This window comes from Homo sapiens, chromosome 12, assembly GCF_000001405.40.
Source record: "Homo sapiens chromosome 12, GRCh38.p14 Primary Assembly".
Lineage (NCBI taxonomy): Eukaryota > Metazoa > Chordata > Mammalia > Primates > Hominidae > Homo > Homo sapiens.
This window is the reverse complement of record NC_000012.12, coordinates 122,394,342-122,418,748: the sequence shown is the minus strand read 5'-3', so window position 1 is coordinate 122,418,748 and position 24,407 is coordinate 122,394,342. Positions and strand designations below refer to the sequence as shown.

General features: G+C 44.3%; 1 protein-coding gene and 1 long non-coding RNA gene across 25 annotated transcripts in view, besides 10 other annotated features; one reads left to right on the top strand and one right to left on the bottom strand.

The window, feature by feature from the left end:
* CLIP1 (CAP-Gly domain containing linker protein 1) overlaps nucleotides 1–24,407 on the top strand; it is a 151,488-nt gene that overhangs the window by 4,208 nt on the left and 122,873 nt on the right. For 4 of the 24 annotated variants that reach the window (XM_047429317.1, XM_047429315.1, XM_047429311.1 and 1 more), the window contains exon 1: nucleotides 18,146–18,617. The exons of 16 other annotated variants lie outside the window; for them this stretch is intronic. The gene's annotated coding sequence lies outside the window, so the exon portion shown is untranslated. Of the gene's footprint in view, nucleotides 1–18,145; nucleotides 18,969–24,407 lie in introns of those variants that run through there. 4 more of the 24 variants (XM_047429316.1, XM_017019789.2, XM_047429310.1 and 1 more) reach the window with 1 other exon arrangement.
* Nucleotides 2,394–2,513: an enhancer, noted in NCBI's record as "active region_7221". NCBI's record gives its function as "activates an Ori minimal core promoter by ATAC-STARR-seq in GM12878 lymphoblastoid cells {active_cell/tissue: GM12878}" and the evidence as "EXISTENCE:reporter gene assay evidence [ECO:0000049][PMID:35858748]".
* Nucleotides 2,554–2,613: an enhancer, noted in NCBI's record as "active region_7220". NCBI's record gives its function as "activates an Ori minimal core promoter by ATAC-STARR-seq in GM12878 lymphoblastoid cells {active_cell/tissue: GM12878}" and the evidence as "EXISTENCE:reporter gene assay evidence [ECO:0000049][PMID:35858748]".
* Nucleotides 15,091–15,140: an enhancer, noted in NCBI's record as "active region_7219". NCBI's record gives its function as "activates an Ori minimal core promoter by ATAC-STARR-seq in GM12878 lymphoblastoid cells {active_cell/tissue: GM12878}" and the evidence as "EXISTENCE:reporter gene assay evidence [ECO:0000049][PMID:35858748]".
* Nucleotides 16,804–17,489: an enhancer, noted in NCBI's record as "H3K27ac-H3K4me1 hESC enhancer chr12:122885807-122886492 (GRCh37/hg19 assembly coordinates)". NCBI's record gives its function as "activates a minimal SCP1, AML or CMV promoter by ChIP-STARR-seq in naive H9 embryonic stem cells {active_cell/tissue: H9 hESC(naive)}" and the evidence as "EXISTENCE:reporter gene assay evidence [ECO:0000049][PMID:30033119]".
* Nucleotides 17,490–18,175: an enhancer, noted in NCBI's record as "H3K27ac-H3K4me1 hESC enhancer chr12:122885121-122885806 (GRCh37/hg19 assembly coordinates)". NCBI's record gives its function as "activates a minimal SCP1, AML or CMV promoter by ChIP-STARR-seq in primed H9 embryonic stem cells {active_cell/tissue: H9 hESC(primed)}" and the evidence as "EXISTENCE:reporter gene assay evidence [ECO:0000049][PMID:30033119]".
* Nucleotides 17,490–18,192: a biological region, named in NCBI's record as "H3K27ac-H3K4me1 hESC enhancer GRCh37_chr12:122885121-122885806".
* Nucleotides 18,063–18,112: an enhancer, noted in NCBI's record as "active region_7218". NCBI's record gives its function as "activates an Ori minimal core promoter by ATAC-STARR-seq in GM12878 lymphoblastoid cells {active_cell/tissue: GM12878}" and the evidence as "EXISTENCE:reporter gene assay evidence [ECO:0000049][PMID:35858748]".
* Nucleotides 18,133–18,192: an enhancer, noted in NCBI's record as "active region_7217". NCBI's record gives its function as "activates an Ori minimal core promoter by ATAC-STARR-seq in GM12878 lymphoblastoid cells {active_cell/tissue: GM12878}" and the evidence as "EXISTENCE:reporter gene assay evidence [ECO:0000049][PMID:35858748]".
* Nucleotides 18,213–18,262: an enhancer, noted in NCBI's record as "active region_7216". NCBI's record gives its function as "activates an Ori minimal core promoter by ATAC-STARR-seq in GM12878 lymphoblastoid cells {active_cell/tissue: GM12878}" and the evidence as "EXISTENCE:reporter gene assay evidence [ECO:0000049][PMID:35858748]".
* Nucleotides 18,731–18,790: an enhancer, noted in NCBI's record as "active region_7215". NCBI's record gives its function as "activates an Ori minimal core promoter by ATAC-STARR-seq in GM12878 lymphoblastoid cells {active_cell/tissue: GM12878}" and the evidence as "EXISTENCE:reporter gene assay evidence [ECO:0000049][PMID:35858748]".
* CLIP1-AS1 (CLIP1 antisense RNA 1) lies at nucleotides 18,805–23,207 on the bottom strand. The gene is made up of 3 exons (NR_045382.1): nucleotides 23,084–23,207; nucleotides 22,044–22,166; nucleotides 18,805–19,453 (listed from the first exon to the last, which is right to left on the bottom strand). It is a non-coding gene; the product is annotated as a CLIP1 antisense RNA 1 (long non-coding RNA).

The window sequence follows — 24,407 nt, the reverse complement described above, 5'->3', positions numbered from 1 at the left end:
CTCTGTCACGCAGGCTGGAGTGCAGTGGCACAATCGTAGTTCACTACAGCCTTGAACTCCCTCCTGGGCTCAAGCAGTCCTCCCACTTCAGCCTCCTGAGTAGCTAGGACTACAGGTGCATGCTATCATGCCTGGCTAATTAAAAAAATTTTTTTTCCTGTAGAGATGAGGTCTTGCTATGTTTCCCAAGCTGGTCTTGAACTCCTAGGCTCAAACAATCCTCCTAACTTGGCCTCCCAAAGTGCTGGGATTACAGGCATGAGCCACCGTGCCCAGCCCCACTATCCAAATAATCAATTTCTTTCCTTTTCTTGTAGAAATGAGATGGAAGGTCAAGTGTGTTTTTCTTTGATATGAAGAGTAGACAGTGTTGTTTATTATGGCAAATCTATAGTTCTCTTTTGCAGTATTTTTGAACTGTGACAGCATCCCTAAAGGCAGCTTGATGAGCTATGGTATACCTATCTGTGGGCTGTAATTAGATCTCATTTGGTATTCAGGCAACAAATATTTATTGAGCATGTACCGTGTGCCAGGTGCTGTTCTAGATGATGGTGATACAACAGTGAATAAAAGACAGAAATCCCTGTTATTCTCTTGGAACTTCCCTTCAAGTAGAGAAGGCAGACAATAAACAAAAAGTAAATTTATTGTATGTTAGGTGACACATGGCAAAGAAAAAACAATCAGAGAAGGGAAAGTATAAAGTACTAGGGGTAAGAGTTAGAAGAATGGAAATTTTACATAGGGCAGCAAGAGGAGACCTAGCTGGGAATGTGACTTTCGAGTAGAGACAGAAAGGAAGTGAAGGAATGTAGAGCCCAGAGAGAAAAACATCCTAGGGAGAAGGAAGGAGGAGGCAGGACATTGAAGACTTTCTAGGCTGTAGTCCTTAAAATATGTATTTGTTGAAATATTTAAAAATACAGAATAATTTGGCCGGGCGCGGTAGCTCACACCTGTAATCCCAGCACCTTGGGAGGCCGAGGTGGGTGGATCACGAGGTCAGGAGATTGAGACCATCCTGGCTAACGCAGTGAAACCCCGTCTCTACTAAAAATACAAAAAATTAGCCAGGCTTGGTGGCGGGTGCCTGTAGTCCCAGCTACTCAGGAGGCTGAGGCAGGAGAATGGTGTGAACCCAGGAGGTGGAGCTTGCAGTGAGCGGAGATCTCGCCACTGCACTCCAGCCTGGGCGACAGAGCGAGACTCCGTTTCAAAAAAAAAAAAAAAAAAAAGGCAGAATAATTTTATGCCTTTTTAAAAAATTGCTTTTGTTTTTTAGAGACAGAGTCTCACTCGGTCACCAGGCTGGAGTGCAGTGGCACAATTATAACTCACTATAGCCTTGGACTCCTGGACTCAAGCCGTCCTCCTGCCTCAGCCTCCCAAGTAGCTAGGAGGTGTGTACCACCACACACAGTAAGTTTTGTTTTGTTTTGTTTTGTTTTTAAGACAAAATCTTGTTTTTGTCCCCCAGGCTGGAGTGCAATGGAGCAATCCCAGCTCACTGCAACCTCCGTCTCCCAGGTTCAAGCGATTCTCCTGCCTCAGCCTCCAAGTAGCTGGGATTACAGGCACATGCCACCACACCTGGCTAATTTTTGTATTTTTAGTAGAGACGGGGTTTCACCATGTTGGCCAGGCTGATCTAACTCCTGACCCTCAGGTGATCTGCCTGCCTCAGCCTTCCAGAGTGCTGGGATTACAGGCATGAGCCACTGCGCCTGGCCCAGCAAATTTTTTTTTGGAACTCTTGGCCTCAAGAGATCCTCCCACCCAGACTGTTGGGATTACCGGTGTGATCCACCACACCTGGGCACCATGTTATTGTTATAATTATTTTTTGAGATGGAGTGTCGCTCTTGTTGCCCAGGCTGGAGTGCAATGGCGTGATCTCTGCTTACTGCAACCTCTGCCTCCTGGGTTCAAGCAATTCTTCTGCCTCAGCCTCCCAAGTAGCTGGGATTACAGGCATACACCACCACACCCGGCTAGTTTTATATTTTTAGTAGAGATGGGGTTTCACTGCGTTTGTCAGGCTGCTCTTGAACTCCTGACCTCAGGTGATCTACCCACTGCAGCTTCCCAAAGTGCTGGGATTACAGGTGTGAGCCACTGCTCTCGGCCACCATGTTATTTTTAATTAATTTTTTGAGAAGGGGTCTTGTTATATCGCCCAAGCTAGACTCAAATTCCTGAGCTTAAGTGATCCTCTCATCTCAACCTCCCCAGTAGCTGGGACTGTAGGCTTGTACTACTGTGCTGACTATGTCATGTTATTAATGATTTTGATGAAGATAAAGATATGGGGGAAAATGAGGCTCAAAGAATTTCCCTAATTTGCCTAAAAGTCCACACAGCTAGTGAATAGAAATTGAGCCCAGTTTAGGTTATTTTAAGTAATGTACAGAATACCTTGGCAATGGCACAAAGGCCAGCCCAGTACTTGATGTTCAGATGTGCTATTGAGTGTATACTTTCCTATTTCTATCCATCTGTTCAGGACTGTTCAGGACTTTTTTTTTCTATCACCCAGGCTGGAGAGCAGTGGCGCTATCTTGGCTCACTGCAACCTCTGCCTCCCGGGTTCAAGCGATTCTCTGCCTCAGCCTCCTGAGTAGCTGGGATTACAGGCGCCTGCCACCACGCCCAGATAGTTTTTGTGTTTTTAGTAGAGACAGGGTTTCACCATCTTGGCCAGGCTGGTCTTGAACTCCTGACCTCATGATGCACCCACCTCAGCCTCCCACAGTGCTGGGATTACAGGCATGAGCCACCGTGCCAGGCCCAGGATCTTGCTTAACTTTGGGAGGCCTGATAACTTGATATTGGTGTATATAGCTTTTTCCTGGAATTGCGCACCTTGTAACAAAGCCGTCCTTTTTAGTCTTAAAGTTTTATAGTTCAAAATCTATGGGTTTTTTTTTGAGATGGAGTCTCCCTCTGTCACTCAAGCTGGAGTGCAGTGGCACGATCTTAGCTCACTGCAACCTCTGCCTCCCGGGTTCAAGCAATTCTCCTGCCTCAGCCTCTTGAGTAGCTGGGATTACAGGCACACTCCACCACGCACGGCTGATTTTTGCATTTTTAGTAGAAACAGTGTTTCACCATTTTGGCCAGGTTGGTCTCAAACTCCTGACCTCAGGTGATCCACCCGCCTTGGCCTCCCAAAGTGGTGGGATTACAGGCGTGAGCCACTGTGCCTAGCCAAAATCTATGTTTAATAGAAAACTTTAGATAACACTTTTTTTTTTTTTTTTTTTTGAGATGGAGTCTCACTCTGTCGCCCAGGCTGGAGTGCAGTGGCGCCATCTCGGCTCACTGCAAGCTCCGCCTCCCAGGTTCACGGCATTCTCCTGCCTCAGCCTCCCGAGTAGCTGGGACTACAGGCGCCCGCCACCACACCCGGCTAATTTTTTTGTATTTTTAGTAGAGATGGGGTTTCACTGTGTTGGCCAGGATGGTCTTGATCTCCTGACCTCGTGATCCGCCCGCCTCTGCCTCCCAAAGTGCTGGGATTACAGGCGTGAGCCACTGCGCCCAGCCACTTTTCAATCTTAATTGGAAAGCAGTGTCAGTCGTCAGTATTTGCCAAGATACGAGTTTTTAGATAGCTGTTTAGGGAGGCTTTAAACTATTAACAGCGTCTTATGTTTTTTTAAAAAATTATTTATTATTATTATTTTTTGAGACAGAGTCTCACTCCGTCGCCGAGGCTGGAGTGTACTGGTGTAATCTTGACTCACTGCAGCCTCCACCTCCTGGGTTCAGAGGATTCTCATGCCTCAGCCTCCTGAGTAGCTGGGATTATAGGCATGCGCCACCATGCCCAGCTAATTTTTTTTTAGCATTTTTAATATACATAATGTGTTTCCCATATAGGCGGAACTCAAAGAATCCGTATGCTTTAAGTTGGCATTTGAGTTACAATGCACTCTTAAGGGAAACCATAATGACCGATGGTACTGTACAAGAATTTTGGGCTGGGCGTGGTGGCTCATGCCTGTAAATCCCAGCACTTTGGGAGGCCGAGGCGGGTGCATCACAAGGTCAAGAGATCAAGACCATCCTGGCCAACATGGTGAAACCCCGTCTCTTCTAAAAATACAAAAAATTAACCAGGCATGGTGGCAGGTGCCTGTAATCCCACCTACTTGGGAGACTGAGGCAGGAGAATCACTTGAACCTTTGAGGTGGAGGTTGCAGTGAGCTGAGATTGCGCCATTGCACTCCAGCCTGGGCAAAAAGATAGAAACTCCGTCTCAAAAAAGAAACAACAAAACAAAACAGATATTTGGCCAGGTGCAGTGGCTCATGTCTATAATCCCAGCACTTTGGGAGAGTAAGGCAGGAGGATCGCTTGAGTCCAGGAGTTTGAGATCAGCCTGGGCAACACATTGAGACTTCCGTCTCTACAAAAACTTAAAAAAACTAGCTGAATATGATGATACATGCCTGTAGTCCCACCTACTTGGGAGGCTGAGGCAGGAGGATCTCTTAAACCCAAGAAATCTGATCCCAGGAGGCTACAGTGAGCTGTGTTCACGCCACTGCACTCCAAGCTGGACAACAGAGTGAGACCCTGTCTCAAAAAAAACAAACAAACAAAAAACAAACCCCCAAAACCAAAGTACACATATTAAAGTGTACAATTCAATCAAAATTAAAAAATAAAAACAATTTCAAGGAAGAGTGACCTCTTCAGGTTTCAATCAAGGGAACAGAGGGAGACTTTTTTTGTTGCTTGTAGTTTGTCAGAGTGTAATTAGCCAACCTTGAATTTGGCTAGGACATCTGGGGTAATATCCTGGCCCTGGCACCAAGTACCAAGGAATCTTGGCCACAATGAGTAAAGAGCTTTTTTTTTTTTTCTTTTAATCTCCATATGGCACTTCCAGAAGGACATATTCCACTAGCACTAACTCAATGGGTGGGTCTACTTTTTAATTGTCTATTTATTGTGGTTCAGCAACAAAATCTTAAAAGTATGCTTTCAAAATCTCTCAAAAGAGGAAGTAGTCATATTACAGAATCCCTATTGGGAACCCTCCTTGGTGTCTCTTACCCTGGGGAAGTTTATTCTCATCCACCTCTTTGCAGGAATGCTAATGAGACTACAGGCAGACATTTTGCTGCCCTAATGTTTTCTATAAGCGTAAGCTCTAAAATACTTCCGACTTGAATTAAGCAGTTTGGTGTTTGTTTGCTCCTTTGCTTACTTATGTCTAAGTATGATTTGGATAGATCCCAGTTTAACTCTGCCCCTTTTTAACACTTAAAATTGCCGAGTCCTTGATTTATAATATCTTCTCCGAAGTTAAGGCCCAGAAGATCCAGATGTTCAGGGTGTGCAAATCATCCAAAACTTGGGTTTGATGTATAAAGGGAGGCAATATAATAAGTCTTTTTCCCCCCGATTCTAAAAATCCCTTCTTTTACTCAAGTATTGTAGTGAAATATTTGGCATATTCTCCCCCTCTTCTCAGGAAAGATAAGAGTCAGTAGGGATGTTTTCCTGAAAATCTTTTAATCAAGGCCTTTGACCTCTTGCCTCCTCTCTCTTCCTGATTTACCCCATATAATGACTTTTTATTAGAGACATTATGTTCTAATACCTTAAAGCAGGAAGGGACCTATTTAGACTTTTCCTTTCTAGACCGTAAATAAACTTTATAAGCAGGGTGATTTTTTTTATAGCCTAAGTGAAAGAAAACTTATTGCCTGGGTTTCTGAAAAGTGGGTGTCTTTATTACATGAAACCATGTGACTAGTTTCTGTTGAAAGGGATACGTAGCTTGCTTAGGTTGTCATCTTGAGAATCTAGTCAAGTTTAGATTTTAGAAAATGTTTTCCAGTGAAGTTTTTTTTAGGGTCTCAGGTTTATTTTTTTCTTTATGTATTAGTTTTAAGATGGGCTTTACATTTTAGTAACATAATGTTCTCTTCTTAAAATATGTAGGTTAATTGTATAAATTATAAAATTTGCATAGATACAAAAACACAGAAAAAAACAAATTATCCATGATGCTACTGCCCAGAGGAATCTTTTTGATACTTTAGAGTATGTACTTTGGTTTTTTTTTGTTTTTTAGAGACGGAGTCTCGCTCTGTCACCCAGGCTGGAGTGCAGTGGCGTGATCTTGACTCACTGCAACCTCCGCCTACCGAGTTCAAATGATTCTCCTGCCTCAGCCTCTTGAGTAGCTGAGATTACAAACACGTGCCACCTTGCCCGTCTAATTTTTGTATTTTTAGTAGAGACGGGGTTTCGCCATGTTGGCCAGGCTGGTCTCAAACTGATGACCTCATGAAATCCGCCCACCTCAGCCTTCCAAAGTGCTGGGATTACAGGGGTGAGCCACCACGCCTGGCCTCAGTCTTCTTATTAAAAAATTTTTTTGGCCAGGTGTGGTGGCTCACCCCTGTAATCCCAGCACTTTGGGAGGCTGAAGTGGATGGATCCCGTGAGCTCAGGGCAACATGGCAAAACTCCATTTCTACAAAAACAAAAGTTAGCCAGGGATGGTTGTGTACCTGTGGTCTCAGCTACTCAGGAGGCTGAGGTGGGAGGATTCCTTGAGCCCAGGAGGTTGAGGCTGCAGTAAGCCATGATTGTGCCATTGCACTCCAGCTTGGGTGTCAGAGTGAGAGCCTGTCTCTTAAAAAAAAAAAAAAAAAAAAAAAAGAAAATAACTGGTTGTAGATAGTAAGTAGGAAAACTGCTAAGTACACCAGTTTTTTAAAAAATAACAGCTTTATTGAGATATAATTCATATGCCATACAGTTTAGTAACTTAAAGTATACAATTCAGTGGTTTTTTAGTATATTCGCAGTTATGCACCCATCACCATTATCAGTTTTATTATATTTTCATTTTTTTTCCTTTTCTCCCATTTGGAAAAGTAAGTTTTAATATATTTTTGTCATCCCCAGAAGAAATCATGTATCCATTAGCAGTCACTCCTTATTTCTGCCAACTTTCCCAGCCCTAGGCAGGAGGCCAGGAGTTTGATGCCAGCCTGGGCAACATGGCAAATCTACTCTCGTCTCTACAGATTTGTTTATTCTGGACATTTCTTATAAAGGGAATCATACATTATGACTGGCTTCCTTCGCTTAACATAGTGTTTTCAGGGTTCCTCCATGTTGTGGCATGCATCTGCCCTTGATTCCTTTTTATGGTTGAGTAATATTCTGTTGTGTAGATATACCCCAATACCACATTGTGTCTCTTCATCACTTGATGAACCTTTGGATTGTTTCTACTTTTTGTCTCATGAATACTGCTGCTGTGAGCATTCATGTATAAATTTTTTGTTTTTGTTTTTGAGATGGAGTTTCGCCCTTGTCTCCCAGGCTGGAGTGCAATGGCGTGATCTCGGCTCATTGCAACCTCCACCTCCTGGGTTGAAGCAAATCTCCTGCCTCAGCCTCCCCAATAGCTGGGATTACAGGCGCCTGCCACCACACCCAGTTAATTTTTATAGTTTTAGTAGAGACAGGGTTTCGCCATGTTGCCTGGGCTTGTCTCAAACTCCTGACCTCAGGTGATCCGCCCACCTCAGCCTCCCAAAGTGCTGGGATTACAGGCGTAAGCCACTATGCCTGGCTCTTGTGTCTAATTTTTTGTGTAGACATATGCTTGCTTTTATGTTGGGCCTATACCTAAGAATGTTATAGAATTGCTGGGTCATATGCGAACTCTACCTTTTGAGGCAGTACAATACTGTTTTCCAAAGTGGTTGTACCACCAGCAATGAATGAGGTTCAGCTTGTCCAAATCCTCACCAGCACTTCTATGTCTTTTTGATTATAGTCATCCTAGTGAGTGTGCAGTGTGGTATCTCATCGTGATTTTGATTTGTATTTACCTGGTGGCTAGTAATATTGAACATCCTTTCATGTGCTTATTGGCCGTTTGTATAGCTTCTTTGGAGAAACAAACCTGTTATCTTTTTCTTTTTACCTTCAAAATATTACTTATAAGGCCGGATGTGGTGGCTCACGCCTGTAATCCCAGCACTTTGGGAGGCTGAGGTGGGCAGATCACTTGAGGTCAGGAGTTCGAGACCAGCCTGGCCAACATGGCAAAACCCTGTCTCTACTAAAAATACGAAAATTAGCTGGGTGTGGTGGCACGTGCCTGTAATCCCAGCTACTCGGGAGGCTGAGGCAGGAGAATCGCTTGAACCCAGGAGGTGGAGGTTGCAGTGAGCCGAGATTGCGCCACTGCACTCCAGCCTGAGTGACAGAGCGAGACTCCATCTCAAAAAAAAAAAAAAAAAAGTGTGTGTGTGTCTGTGTGTATATATATGTGTGTGTGTGTATACATAAATAAATATAACTTTACAAAGGCAAAGTATAGAACAATGGTATGTTACCATTTCGAATGAAAATGGTATACAAAAGAATGCCTTTATCTTTTAGTTTCTATATTTAGCAGATATTTATTAAGCATCTACTATAGGGAGGTACTAGCCCAGACACTGGGAAAGTTGAGTAAAACAGTCATGTGTCCTGCTCTCGAGGAAACTGTAGCTGTTAATGGATTGCAGATTAAGAGCAAGAAATGAGGCTAGGCATGGTGACTCATGCCTGTAATCCCAGCACTTTGGGAGGCTGAGGTGGGTGGATCACTTGAGGCCAGGAGTTCAAGACTAGCCTGGCCAACATAGCAAAACCCTGTCTCTACTAAAAATACAAAAAATTAGCCAGGCATGGTGACAGGCGCCTGTAGTCCCAGCTACTCGGGAGGCTGAGGCAGGAGAATGGCGTGAACCCAGGAGGCGGAGCTTTCAGTGAGCCGAGATCTCACCACTGCACTCCAGCCTGGGTGACAGAGCAAGACTCAGTCTCAAAAAAAAAAAAAATAAAAATAACAAACACTGAAGTTAGATTTTAAAATCCAAATGAGGCCGGGCGCGGTGGCCCACGCCTGTCATCTTAGCACTTTGGGAGGCCAAGGTGGGTAGATCACCTGAGGTCAGGAGTTCGAGACCAGCCTGGCCAACATGGTGAAAGCCTGTCTCTACTAAAAATACAAAAACTAGCTGGGGGTGGTGGCAGGGGCCTGTAATCCCAGCTACTCGGGAGGCTGATGCAGGAGAATCGCTTGAACCTGGGAGGCAGAGGTTGCAGTGAGCTGAGATTGAGCCACTGCACTCCAACCTGGGCAACAGAGTGAGACTCTGTCTTGAAAAAAATTAAAATCCAAATGAAACCAATTCCTAGTTTCCACTTACAGCATCTAAGGTGGTTGTACAGAAACTATCTTATGGATTTGTGAGTAAATTTAGTAGACTGCTTCTCTTGAAATATAGGCTGGGCGTGGTGGCTCGTGCCTGTAATCCCAGCACTTTGGGAAGCCAAGGTGGGCAGATCACTTGAGGCCAGGAGTTTGAGACCAGCCTAGCCAACATGGTGAAACCCTGTCTCTACTAAAAATATAAAAATTAGCTGGGCGTGGTTGCGCATGCCTGTAATCCCAGCTACTCCAGAGGCTGAGGCGGAAGAATCGCTTGAACCTGGGTGGCAGTGGTTGCAGTGAACTGAGATCATGCCACTGTATTCCAGCCTGGGCAACAGAGCAAGACTCCATCTCAAAAAAAAAGAAAAAGAAAAGAAAAATATTATAGGCTGGGCGTGGTAACTCATGCCTGTAATCCCAGCACTCTGGGAGGCCAAGGCGGGCGGATCACCCGAGGCCAGGAGTTTGAGACCAGCCTGGCCAACATGGTGAAACCCTGTCTCTACAAAAATATAAAGATTAGCCGGGCATGGTTGTGCAGACCTGTAATCCTGGCTACTTGGGAGGCTGACGCAGGAGAATCACTTGAGCCTGGGAGGCGGAGGTTGCAGTGAGCCAAGATCGTGCCACCCTGGGTGACAGAGTGGAGACTCCATCTCAAAAAAATAATAAACAATAAAAAAAATATCAAGGTGCCCTGTAGTATTGTGAAAATAGAAACGTGGTTATAGGCCGGGCACAGTGGCTCATGCCTTTAATTCCAACACTTTGGGAGGCTGAGGCAGGAGGATCTCTTGAGCCCAGGAGTTCAAGACCAGCCTGGGCAACATAGTCTCTTAAAAACAGAATAGGCTGGGCGCGGTAGCTCACACCTGTAATCCCAGCACTTTGGGAGGCCGAGGTGGGTGGATCACGAGGTCAGGAGATCGAGACCATCCTGGCTAACACGGTGAAACCCTGTCTCCACTAAAAATACAAAAAATTAGCCTGGTGTGGTGGCAGGCGCCTGTAGTCCCAGCTACTCGGGAGGCTGAGGCAGAAGAATGGCGTGAACCTGGGAGGTAGAGGTTGCAGTGAGCTGAGATTGCACCACTGCACTCCAGCCTGGGCGACAGAGTGAGACTCCATCTCAAAAAAATATATAATAAAAAATAAAGAAATGTCTCAAAAAAATGTGGTTATTTGTCCATTGTCTCTCAAGACCTATAGCAACTATTAAACTTGCTCATTTGCAAAATAAAAACAAGAACCTTTTTTTTTTTTTTTTTGAGACGGAGTATCATTCTTATCGTCTAGGCCAGAGTGCAATGGTGTGAGCTCTGTAACCTCCGTCTCCCGGGTTCAAGTGATTGTCCTGCCTCAGCCTCCTGAGTAGCTGGGATTACAGGTGCCCGCCACCATGCCTGGCTAATTTTTGTATTTTTAGTAGAGATGGGGTTTCGCCATGTTAGTCAGGCTGGTCTTGAACTCCTGACCTCAGGTGATTTGCCTCGGCCTCCCAAAGTGCTGGCATTACAGGCAAGAAAGCTTTTATGAAAAGAAAAAAACCCAATCCAATATGAAAGACCTTGATTCTTCTAGGAGTTGTCTTTGTACCCTTTTCTTGTTCAGAGCAGTTTTGGTATGCTTTTGCTTTTGGTGTGGGCCATGTCTGACTGTTTAAGGGGCAGGCAACAATATGCCAACTTTTTTCCTTTGTGAAGAATGGAAAGGGAAATCAATTCTTTTTTTTTTTTTTTTTTTTTTTTTGAGACAGGGTCTCACCAAAAACCCTCCTTGTAGCACGTGTTCTCACTCTGTCTCAAGAAAAAAAAAAAACTCATCCAGGCTGGAGTGCAGTGGCACAATCACAGCTCACTGCAGCTTCAATCTCCTGGGCTCAGGTGATCCTCCTTCAGCCTCCCAGATAGCCTGGACTGCAGGCACGCGACACCATACCTGGCTAATTTTTTGTAGAGATGGAGTTTTGCCGTGTTGCCCAGGCTGGTTTTGAACTCCTGGGCTCAAGTGATCTTCCTGCCTCAGCCTCCCAAAGTGCTGAGATTGCAGGTGTGAACCACCTTGGCTGGGGAGGTCAGTTTTAACTTGCCTTGAGATTGACTCTTTGATCTCACTGCTGTATATAATAATTTAGAAACATTTATTCATCAGTTTACATTAGGGTCAGGAGCCTGGAGATTGGGGTTTTAGTCCTAGACTGTTAAGTAAGTATGACCTTGACAAGTGATTTCACTTTTTAGAATCAGTTTTCTTGTTGGTAAAATGAGAGAGTTGAACTAGATTGCTACAGTCTCTTCTGATTCTAACATTTTATGATGCTATATTAAGCACATTGCTTCTTTTTACACGTTAGTATAATTGACTGCTGCCGACCCATTAAGTAAGTTCTTCTGGGAGATACTAGAGAGGCCTAGTAATTTCAGCCCCTTTTAAGATCTGTGTCTTAAGCTAGTGGTATGTGTTAGAGTTACAAAGTCACAGGAATTTTGTAGAATTTTGTGTAAATGAACAAAATAACTCAAATTATTCAGCTTTCCATGTTCCCTTAAAACATTTTTTTTTTTTTTTGCAGATGGAGGAACATTGGGAGGCTCTTTATTTTCTGCGTGCTAAGTAGTAGGAATATAAATCTGCACTCAGACTGAGCTGTGCAAAGGCATTCATAATTGCAGGCAGTTGCATCAGAGCTCAGAGTTCCATCTCTAAAAAAAACATTGTCTTATGCCCCAACCTTCTCCCTGGGTTAGTTTTTAATCCTGTCCTTCCTTTTTAAAACTTCTCTAGGTACAACTTGTATTCTGTACTATGTCATACACACCTTAAGTTTTAAATACATATAATTTTCTTAAGCACAGAATAATTTTTCAAAGGGGTATGTCTACTCTTGACTTTGGAAAGATACCATAAACTTTGTATTTACTGTCAGTGTCTTATTGTGTGATATTCTCAAATCAACACTTAAGGTTAGCAGGCTAATTTTATAAATTGCTCTGTAAGGTTTGTCTCAGTTAGAAATTGGAAATAAAACTTCCTTGTAGCTCCTTTTGAATTAAGGGGCCAGTTAATTTTCTGATACTTACTGACTTGTGTCAGTCCTTTAGTGTCTGAATGGGCTTTTCACATTGATCCATTTATTTTTACTTGTTTGAGACAAGGTCTCACTCTGTGGGACCACAGGCACGCACCACCACGCCTGGCTAATTTTTGTATTTTTTGCAGAGACAGGGTTTCGCCATGTTTCCTAGGATGATCTCAAACTCCTGAGCTCAAAACTATCTGCCCACCTTGGCCTCCCAAAGTGTTGGGATTATGGGCGTGAGCCACTGAGCTGGCCGGCATTGACCTTTTAAATAAACAGTGATTACAATATTTACTCATCTTTCGTACTTTATCCTTAAAGATATGCTGTTTGCTTCCCGCCCCCCATCCCCCAGATGGAGTCTTGCTCTGTCACCCAGGCTGGAGTGCAGTGGTGCCATCTAGGCTCACTGCAACCTCTGCCTCCCGGATTCAAGCGATTCTCCTGCCTCAGCCTTCTGAGTAGCTGGGATTACCGGAGCTGCCGCCATGCCCGGCTAATTTTTGCATTTTAGTAGAGAGGGGGTTTCACCAAGTTGGCCAGGCTGGTCTTGAACGTCTGACCTCAGGTGATCCGCTCGCCTTGTCCTCCCAAAGTGCTGGGATTACGGCCGTGAGCAACCACACCCGGCTGCTGTTTCCTTTTTGTTTTTTTTTTTGAGATAGTGTGGTGGCATGATCTCTGCTCACTGCAACCTCTGCCTCCCTTGCTCAAGTGATTCTCTTGTCTCAGCCTCCCGAGTAGCTGGGATTATAGGTGTGTACCACCACACCTGGCTAATTTTTGTATTTTAGTAAAGATGGGGTTTTGCCATGTTGGCCAGGCTGGTCTTGAACTCTTCACCTCAGGTGATCTATCCGCCTTGGCCTCCCAAAGTGCTGGGATTACAGGTGTGAGCCACCGCGCCTGGCTGCTATTTGCTTTTTTAATCTTTGTGTTAATTTTAAAGCTGAGTCTGGCCTATTTAAAAAGTTATATATAATATATCGTGTATGAAGCATACATAAATACCCACATACTTAGAGAAATATCAGTGAAAATAGATCTTAGTGGTCCTAGCACAGTAAAGTGACAAAAGACTAAAAAAAACCTAGAGTTACGGCTCCTGGAATCCTTCTGACTTTTTTGACCATAGTACTTGCGAGAACGCGTCCCTTGTGAATCTAGGCAATGACGGCAACAGGAGCCATGCAGCAGTGACAGAACGTCTCATGGGATTACACAGGGGATGCAGATCAGTGAAGAAATATTGGTGCTTATAAATAGTCATGACAGGAATGGAAAAAAGGACAGGCTGAGTGACTTTAATATTCAATAAAACAAGTAATCTCATGTGAAAGGCATGTGTTTTTGAAGATGATGGAATGCTCTTATTCTGACACCTGACTCTAGAGGTGGTTTAAGTCAGTCCTATAGACAAGGCAGTGAACTTGATGGGGATATGTGGAACTGAATGGAAGAATGGAAGTGTGAACACATGGCACCATGTTGGTTTTTTTTTGTTTTGTTTTTTTTTTTTGAGATGGAGTCTCGCTCTGTCACCCGGGCTGGAGTGCAGTGGCGCGATCTTGGCTCACTGCAACCTCCGCCTCCCGGGTTCACACCATTCTGCCTCAGCCTCCTGAGTTGTTGGGACTACAGGCGCCCGCCACCATGCCAGGCTAATTTTTTTTTTTTGTATTTTTATTAGAGACAGGGTTTCACTGTGTTAGCCAGGATGGTCTTGATGGATCCGACCTCGTGATCCACCTGCCTCGGCCTCCCAAAGTGCTGGGATTACAGGCGTGAGCCACTGTACCTGGCCTTTGTTTTTTGTTTTCAGATGGAGTCTTGCTCTGTTGCCCAGGCTGGAGTGCTGTGGCGCAATCTTGGCTCACTGCAACCTCCACCTCCCCGGGTTCAAGCGATTCTCCTGCCTCAGACTCCTGAATAACTGGGATTACAGGAATGTGCCACCACTTCTAGCTAATTTTTATATTTTTAGTAGAGACAGGTTTCACCATGTTGGCCAGCCCGAAGGTCTCGAACTCCTAGCCTCAAGTGATTTACCCACCTTGGCCTCCCAAAGTACTGGGATTACAGGCGTCAGCCACTGCACCCGGCCTATTCTGTTACCTTTTAAATCAGCCTACTAGTTGATACTGAAACCAGTGTCTCCAGGCCCCTGCTTTATATTCTGTCCAGTGAATCTCGCTTGTTAGTGCACTGATTTGATACATTGGCCCTTCTGTGGCCTGCGCCCCAAACTGTGTTTGGTGGCGTCACACACATTTTCCCTGTGTTCAGGGCCAAGCTTTGGGAAGCCAGAGTCAACGATGCTCTTAGGTGTCTGTCACTTGTCCTCAGCTCGCGTAGACCGCTCACTCATGCGCTTACCGGGTATTCTACCTTGGAGTGCATGCTCCCTGCCTTCATGCCCTGTGGTTTGATTTTGAGTCACGGAACTGTTGTTAGGGCACACATTCTGAGCAGTCACACAGTGTCATCATGTCATCGGACCACTCTGTGTAAATGTGCACAAGGAGTGTTCTGTATCTTATTCGGAAGACTAACAAGTTTCCCAGGTGTTAGAATATGGGCCAATGAAACAGCTATATGCGGCTGGGCACGGTGGCTCATGTGGTAATCCCAACACTTTGGGAGGCCAAGGTGGGTGGTTCACCTGAGGTCAGGAGTTCAAGACCAGCTTGGCCAACATGGTGAAACCCTGTCTCTACTAAAAATAAAAAAAAATTAGCTGGGTGTGGTGACGGGTGCCTGTAATACCAGCTACTCAGGAGGCTGAGGCAGGAGAATCGCTTGAACCCAGGAGGCAGAGGTTGCAGTGAGTCGAGATCATGCCACTGCACTCCAGCCTGGGTACCAGAGTAAGACTCTGTGCCAAAAAAACAAACAGACCAAAAAAAAAAAAAAAAAAAACAAAACAAGAAATGATGTCTCCTACTGTATTGGCCTTAAATCTCCAGCCACAGGTTCCTTTCATGTGCTTTGAGACATACTTATTAAATTTTTCATCGGTAGCTCAGTCTCTGTACTGTATTTTGCTTTGAGTTTCATGTGGGTGTGTTTTCAAACTCTTTGTGCTGAGCTCTCGGTTTTACTGGGCAGTGCCTTGTGCTGCCAGCAGAGCTTCCTTATACATTATGTATCACCTGTCAAATAGATATTTTAAAGTTCCTCTTACTGTAAGTGCTATTTTTTCCTTTTCTATGCTAAGAACAATTAAATTATTCCTGGCTCGAGATTCAGGAGTTTTACATTTCTCTGCCCTTTTCCTCACATACATGTTGTAATGGAGCACAGAAGATGGATGTTGCATATCCAGGGGGGCCTGGGGTATTATCTGCTTGTTAGTTTTACTATCGATGCCAAGAGGAGAGCTGCTTGTTTTCTGCTTCCAGTATGTATTCTAGCCTGGTGGTGTCCTATGTAGTAGCCACGAGCCACATAATCACGTATTGAGCACGTGAAATGTGGTGAGTCCAAATTGAGGTGTGCTGTAAGTATAAAATACACTCTGGATTTCAAAGATCTATTATGAAAAAAGAATGTAAAATGTTAATAATTTTACGTTAATCACATTTGTTGTTGTTAGAGACGAGGTGATATTTGTTTTTTGAGACAGAGTCTTGGTCTGTCACCCAGGCTGGAATGTAGTGCTGCCACCCAGGCTGGAGTACAGTGGCGCTATCTCAGCTCACTGCAACCTCCGCCTCCTGGGTTCAAGCAATTCTCCTGCCTCAGCCTCCGGAGTAGGTGGGATTATAGGTGCCCACCACCACATCCGACTAATTTTTATATTTTTAGTAGAGATGGGGTTTCACCATGTTGGCCAGGCTGCTGTCAAACTCTTGACCTCAAGTGATCCATGTGCTTCGGTCTCCCAAAGTGCTGGGATTACAGGCATGAACCAGCACGCCCAGGCAGGAGATGAGGTCTTGCTCTGTTGCCCAGGCTGGAGTGCAGTGCCATGACCAGAGCTCTCTGCAGCTTCTAACTAAACTCTTGGGCTCAAGCAGTCGTCCCATCTCTGCCTCTGGAGTAGCTGGGATGCAGGTGTGTGCCACTACACCCAGCTAATTTTTAAAAATTTTGTAGAGATGGAGTCTCACTATGTTGCTCAGGCTTGTCTTGAAATCCTGAACTCAAGTGATCCTTCCACTTGGGCAGGCATGAGCCACCGTGCCCAGCCCTTGATTACATTTTGAAATAATATTTTAAATCTACTGGGCTAAATAAACTATATCATGAAAATTAATTTCACATGATTCTTTTTCATTTTTAAAAATATGGATACTAGAAAATTCAGAATTATACATTTGTACTGCATTGTATTTCTACTGGACAGTGCTGGTCTAGAAAGTATAATACTGTCAACAAATGTAATTATCTAATTTGAGACTCACACTTTTTTTTTTTTTGAGCGGGAGTTTTGCTCTTGTTGCCCAGGCTGGAGTGCAATGGCAAAATCTCGGCTCACTGCAACCCCCACCTCCCAGGTTCAAGTGATTCTCCTGCCTCAGCCTCCCGAGTAGCTGGGATTACAGGCATGTGCTACCACACCTGGATAATTTTGTATTGTTAGTGGAGACTGGCTTCACCATGTCTGTCAGGCTGGTCTTGAACTCCTGACCTCAGGTCATCCTCCCGCCTTGGCCTCCCAAAGTGCTGGGATTACAGGCATGAGCCAGCATGCCCAGCCGAGATCATACCTGTTAAATAGCACTCATTGTAGGTAGTAATTGAACAGTTTGCCCATAGCTTCATTGACCTACTTTCTTGGAGTACAATGGCGCCATCTCTGCTCACCGCAACCTCTGCCTCCCAGGTTTAAGCAGTTCTCCTGCCTCAGCCTCCTGAGTAGCTGGGATTACAGGCATGTGCCACCACGCCGCCTGGCTGATTTTGTATTTTTAGTAGAGATGGGGCTTCGCCGTTTTGGTCAGGCTGGTCTTGAATTCCTGACCTCAAGTGATCTGCCCGCCTTGGCCTCCCAAAGTGCTAGGATTACCGTGCCCGGCCCATTGACCTACTTTTTATTAATTTGTTCATTAATAATTAGAGATGAGGTCTCACCAAGTTTCCCAGGCTGGTATTGAACTCCTGGGCTCAAAGCATCCTGCCACCTCAGCCTCCCAAAGTGTTGGGATTACAGGTGTGAACCACCATACCCACCCTTCATTGGCCCACTTTTTAGAAAAGGATCCAGGCCAGTCGTGGTGGCTCATGTCTGTAATCCCAGCACTTTGGGAGGCCAAGACGGGCGGATCACCTGAGGTCGGGAGTTCGAGACCAGCCTGACCAACATGGCAAAACCTTGTCTCTACTAAAAATACAAAATTAGCCAGGCATGGTGGCACGTGCCTGTAATCCCAGCTACTTGGGAGGCTAAGGCATGAGAATTGCTTAAACCCGAGAGGCGGAGGTTGCAGTGAGCCGAGATCGCGCCACTGCACTCCAGCCTGGGCGACAAGAGTGAAACACTGTCTCAAAAAAAAAAAAAAAAGGATCCGGAGTTGGGAAACCCTGTAATGCTTCTGTGTTTATCAAGTGTTTAGAGTGTAAGATACAGTTACTTGATGCTTTAGTTTGAAAATCGCATCATTTTGCATAATTTTATGGATTCTTGTTTTGCTGTTGACTCACTTGAGAACTTTTTTGAACTCTTACTGTGTATCAAACTTTTTTAGATTCGTTGGATGCGAAGACAAATCAAATCTCATGGAGCTTAGTCATAGCATGATATGCAAACAAGACAGGAATGCGTGTGAGTCATCATTCCGTAATCGAAGCTGCCCAGTAGCTGGAGTAGTCCAGAGAAGGAAGAGAGGGCAAGAAGAGTAGTCAGAAGAGACTGCTGATGTGTCTCCTGTGTTCTTGGAGAGCCATTTCCCATGTGCCCCCAAAGCCCTTCTGTGTGGCAGTATGCTGCGCGTGGCAGTAGCGTATGGGGCCTGGCTCTAGAAACAGCCAGTACGTGGGAAATGAAGCCCGTCCAAGGACCTTAAGCTCAGTTCAGCCAGGAGATGTGATGTTTTTAAATTGGGGCTAAGCAGGCCCATAATTTTTTTTTTTTTGGTTACTTTTCCGTGACATTGGATAGTTGACTTTTTTGTTTTACTCAAGAATTGAAGAAAATTTGCAAATGCCCTTCAATCTTATTTATCTTTTTCAGTCTCTTCTGTATATACAGAAATATGAATGTGAATGAAGTGGAAGGAAGAAAATCAAATAGCTTGCCCTTTCTTAAGGGGAAACAAGTCAATTTGGAAAGGTCCCAGCGTTGTGTAAGTGTTTTCAGTGGCTCAAGCCGAGGAGCTCAGGTTACACTGCATCTCCTGTGTTGGGGGTGGGGACAGCAAGTGACACAGCATACTTACGTAACCGTGACTTCAGGGGACAGGATTAAGCTGTGAATGAACCTCCCAAACCCAGGAATATGATATGAGAACATAGCCTTTGAATTTCTCTCTCAAGTTTGACTTGAAAAATCAGCCTCAGAAACATCTTTATCTTAAGATAGATTTCCGTTGCTCTCAGAACGTCTCTCCCCTGACCTTCTGTTATTAAGTTCATGGACATACAGCATTTTAGAATTAGGTGGGGGCTCCGAAGTCTGCGAGTGCAGCTGTGCACAGGTAAGTCACTTCACCCGCCTGGTGCTGAATTTCCTTTGGGTCTTGAAGCAGGGCCGCGTTGAAACCTGGGTTTCTGGACGTTGTAGCTACCACGCAGCCTGTTTCTGGAAGCTTGGTGTTAAACTCCCTCTCCTGGCAGGTTAAATTCATTGCAAATTCTTCAACTCTCCTTTGCCTCCCAACAGAATTTTTAGATTTAGTAAATAAAGTGGCATTTTCATTTTGTGGATGGGGCAAAATGGACTGGAAAGGGTCTGATGTGTAGAGATGTGATTTTCTTGGGGCAACGTGATGCCGCTCTATGTGTGCCAGGAGGTGCTGAGCCTGTTTGAAGCTCTTATCAGATCTGGGTTCTTTCTTCACTGATGGCAGAGGTCTGTACTTTTCACTTTGGCAAAGTTAGAGCCACAGTCTTTCCTTTCACTTCTGAATCCTTGACCTTTTGCTTACAGGATTTGGATTTGATACCCAAAACAGGACTAGAACTGTGAAGGTATGGAGTTAGAAACAGATCTTATTTAATTAGTGTCCTCAGGTTGAAGTTGGGAATACTGAGCCGGGGAAGGGGTTATGTGAGTTGTTCAGGGTCATCCAACTGGGGTGGAATTTAGGTGTCTCACTTCCTAGTCCAGCTCTCTGTTCATACTTTTTTATTTATTTGAACCATGACATTTAAAAAATAGGAGTAAACATAACCTTAAGAAATCAGATGAGAATATGAAGAATATTACTGCTTTTTGTATGAACATAATTTTCACCATTCTTGTTTTTGGGAACTGCTTGTTTTGTGGAACCTCTTGTTTCTGTAAATTGCTTAAGGTTTTTTTTTTTTTTTTTTGGATATCTGGTCAGGAGGAAGGGGGATTAGATTTTATTAAAATATATATTTTCTATAATAAGTGTCTTTTTTTCTTAAACTTTTTAAAAAAAGATTTTAGAGATAAAGTCTTGCTAATATTGCCTAGGCTGGACTCAATCTCCTGGGCTCAAGCGATCCTCCCACCTCAGTCTCCGAAGTAGCTGGGATTCCAGGCAGGCGCCACCATGCCCGGCTAATTAAAAAAAATTTTTTTTTTTTAGAGATGGGGTTTCACTATGTTGCCCAGGCAGCTCTCAGACTCCTGGACTTAAGTGATCCACCTGCCTTGGCCTCCCAAAATGCTGGGATTATAGGTGTGAGCCACCATGCCTGGGCAAACTTGTGTGTTTTAAAAACATATTTTGTTCTTACGAGTAAAATGTCTCTGCTTTTATAAAAATATAGTACTTTAATTATTCACATTATAATGCTTTTTGTGATATAAAGCATTTCAATCTTAGAGGCTCGTCCTTAAAATTAATTTTTTTTTTTTTTTTAAGGTGGAGTCTCATTCTGTCGCCCAGGCTGGAGTGCAGTGGCGTGATCTCGGCTCACTGCAACCTCCACCTCCAGGGTTCAAGCTATTCTCCTCAGCCTCCCAAGTAGCTGGTATTACAGGCGCCTGCCACCACGACCAGCTAATTTTTTTTTTTTTTTTTTGTATTTTCAGTAGAGACAGGGTTTCACCATGTTGGCCAGGCTGGTCTCAAATTCCTGACCTCTGGTGATCCGGCTGCCTTGGCCTTCCGAAGTGCTGCGATTACAGGCATGAGCCACCAAGCCCAGTCCCTTAAAATTAATTTATTTGAGGAATTTACTTGGCCAAGATGATTCAAAGCTCTAAGCAAAGTTTTTATCTGTTTGCCACTGTATTACATAAAATAAGCTTGCCACTATACCATATAAGCCCACTTATTTCAGTGGCTGAAACTGATAAGTTAATTTTCTTTTTTTTTTGTTTTTTTTTGAGACGGCGTCTCACTCTGTTGCCCAGGCTGGAGTGCAGTGGCACAATCTTGGCTCACTGCAACCTCTGCCTCCTGGCTTCAAGCGATTATCCTGCCTCAGCCTACTGAGTAGCTGGGATTACAGGCATGCGCCTCCACTCTCGACTAATTTTTATATTTTTTTTTTAGTAAAGATGGGGTTTCACCATGTTGGCCAGGCTGGTCTCGAACTCCTGACCTTGTGATCGGACTGCCTCCCAAAGTGCTGGGATTATAGGTGTGAGCCACCATGCGTGGCCGATAAGTTGATTTTCAGTTTTGGAAAAGTTTAGGATACATATTTACTGATGGGAAAATGGGGAGAGGTGATTCAGGTGTCTAGACTTCTTTCTTCCTTTTTTTTTTTTTTTTTTTTTTTTTTGGAGATGGAGTCTGGCTCTGTCGCCCAGACTGGAGGGCAGTGGTGTGATCTTGGCTCACTGCAACCTCTGAGATTACAGGCGTGCACCACTATGCCCGGCTAATTTTTGTATTTTTTTGTAGAGAGAGGTTTTTGCCATGTTGCCCAGGCTGGTCTCAAACTCCTGACCTCAGATGATCCACCCACTTTGGTCTCCCAAAGTGCTGGGATTACAGGCATGAGCCACACGCCTGAACTCTTCCATCTTTTGATTCTGTTGTCTTCAGTACATGCTTTCGAGGTTGCTGGGCTTGTCTCCATCAAGCCATCAGAAGGGCAAAGAGCATGGGGGATTGTACACAGTAGGTTCCTCTGGGCTAGGCCTAGAGTGGCACATGCCTCACACACTTATTCCACTGGCTAGAACTCAGTCACGTGATCATACTGAACTGTAGCGGGAGCTGGGAAATATGGTGTGAATCCAGGAAGAAAAAGAGGCCAGGCACGGTGGCTTACGCCTGTAATCCCAGCACTTTGGGAGGCCAAGGTTGGTGGATCGCTTGCACCCAGGAGTTCAAGACCAGCCTAGGCAACATGGTAAAACCCCATCTCTACAAAAAAAAAAAAAAAAAAAAAAAAAATTTGCCGGGTGTGGTGGTGTCTGCCTGTAGTCCCAGCTACTTGGGAGGCTGAGGTGGAAGGATGGCTGGAGTCTGGGAGGTCAAGGCTGCCATGAGCCATGAGTGCATCACTGCAGTTCAACCTGGGCAACAGGGCAAGACTCTGCCTCAAAAAAAAAAAAATAAACAACAACAAAAAAGTCTTGGTGAACAGCTAGCCACCCTCTCCCCCTCTCCATATGTATTCACTTCCATCCTGGCTTGGCTGTACTGCACTCTTGTTTCTGTGGAGAAAGCAGCTCAGTAGAGTCTGTTTCTTCACTCTTTCGGTTGAAGCCGTTTTACTGTGGCTCAAAAGAATTTTTTTTCTGCCTGTGAAATTAATTATACCTGTTCATTAAATAAAATTTCTATAGACCCAAGAAAACACAGATAAAAATTACCAGTGATTCCATTGAGATAATTGTTCTGAGTCCCTGTTACAGTTCCCTTCAATTTCAGAATTTTTAAGCACTTAGAAATAATAAAATGTCACTAATTCTTACTCTGTGCTGGCTTGCAAACTTCAAAACTCTTAAGAGGGAGGAAACAACAGCCTGGCCATTTTGCCTTTTCCTCACAAAGATACACAGGGCTATTCCGGAGCTGTCCCGAGGCTTTATTCTTCTGGCATTTTCAAAATGACTTAGACATCTTAATCTCCACTTCTCCTTAGTAAACAGGGTAAATATTGGGGCTGGTGAACTCAATAGTTTATTAGGATGGCAAGGGTAACATTTTAAGTTTATGATTTATTTTCTACTCAGTTATCAGGATTCTTTTTTCTTTCCTTTTTCTTTTTTTTTTTTTGAGATGGAGTCTTGCTCTATCGCCAGGCAGGAGTGCAGTGGCACGATCTCGGCTCACTGCAACCTCCACCTCCCAGGTTCAAGAGATTCTCCTGCCTCAGTCTCCCAAGTAGCTGGGACTACACGCACGCACCACCATGCCCAGCTAATTTTTGTATTAGTAGAGACGGGGTTTCACCATGTTGGCCAGGGTTGTCTCTATCTCTTGACCTCATGATCAGCCTGCCTTGGCCTCCCAAAGTACTGCGATTACAGGCGTGAGCCACCACGCCTGGCGGGGATGCTTAAATGTAGCCCAATCCTCCAGTAAAGAATACTAAGAAAAAGTGTTTGGAACCGAACCAAAATAAAAACTTGCGTACCAGAAGTTTGCAGGTAATACAGATATGCGTACATGACTGGTGTTCAGCTATTTAGGTGGACTTGCTTGTCTCTGCTTACCTGTGTTGCTGATGCTGGTCAGCAGTGGAGAAAACTGAGATTAGATGCTGCTAATCTCAGATGGGAGGATAATTTCTTAGGAGGAAGGACATTTCTTGAGTCATCAGCTCCAGATTCCTTTAAAGTGGTGAGGCTTCAGCCCAGAGGGCGACTAACATGAGAATTCCTGTTTGTGAGGTCATTGTCATGACCTCATAGCCAGGCTGTTCAAAATGTTTGCCCAGCTTCTGGCAGGATATGAGCTGATGCCTGCCCCGATTCTACAGACACCATGAGGTACTATTTTCATATTCTAGATTTGTGTTGATTTTCTTCAACTTCTTATAGATAAAAAGTAAAGACATTGACACCAGGCCCTCTTTATTTTGCTGAAAGAGATCGTATAATGATGAGAAAATTATTGTGAGTATCCTCTGGCAGGACTTTTAAAGGCAGAAAACTCCACAGTTGAATAGAAAGTGTTTTTACTGTGTGTACGTGATTAGTCAGTAGCTCTATTTGCTACGGAATTTACTATCCATTTTTTCTGCAAATAAACATAAAGTTTTTTCTTCTGTGAAAAAGTAACAGTTTGAAATGATTAGACTAGGTTATCAGTGGCAGAAATTCTTTATGACCCAGAGGTCTCAATTCAGATGCATCACAATCGAGAAGTTGTCACCATCTGTTTTTGATTATTTTGCCTTGTGCTGTTTATACCTGTTTCAGTTGGAGTTGGAAGAAAAGGTGTTGGTTCGTACAGATATTCAGAAAGCTAGTCTCTGAGGGTTAATATTAACTTTTTAAAGGATTGTCCTTCTTTTTTTTTATTTTTGAGCCGGAGTCTCATGCTGTCGCCAGACTGGAGTGCAGTGATGCAATCTCGGCTCACTGCAACCTCCGCCTCCTGGGAGCTGGGATTACAGGCGCGCACCACCACACCCAGCTAATTTTTGTATTTTTAGTAGAGATGCGGTTCCACCATGTTGGCCAGGATGGTCTCGATCTCCTGATCTCGTGATCCGTCCACCTCGGCCTCCCAAAATGCTGGGATTACAGGCATGAGCCACTGTGCCTGGCCTAAAGGATTGTCCCTTTAAGTAAATAAAAACTTAGAAAACCCTGTGTTTCTGTATTCTGGGTGCAAACACTTGATAAATTGTCCCTTTCCATCTTTTTTTTTTTTTTTTTTTTTTTTGAGACAGCGTCTCACTGTGTTGCCCAGGCTGGAGTGCAGTGGCGAAATCTTGGCTCACTGCAACCTCCGCTTCCCGGCTTCAAACGATTCTCGTGCCTGAGCCTCCAGAGTAACTGGGATTATAGGCACGTGCCACCACGCCCAGCT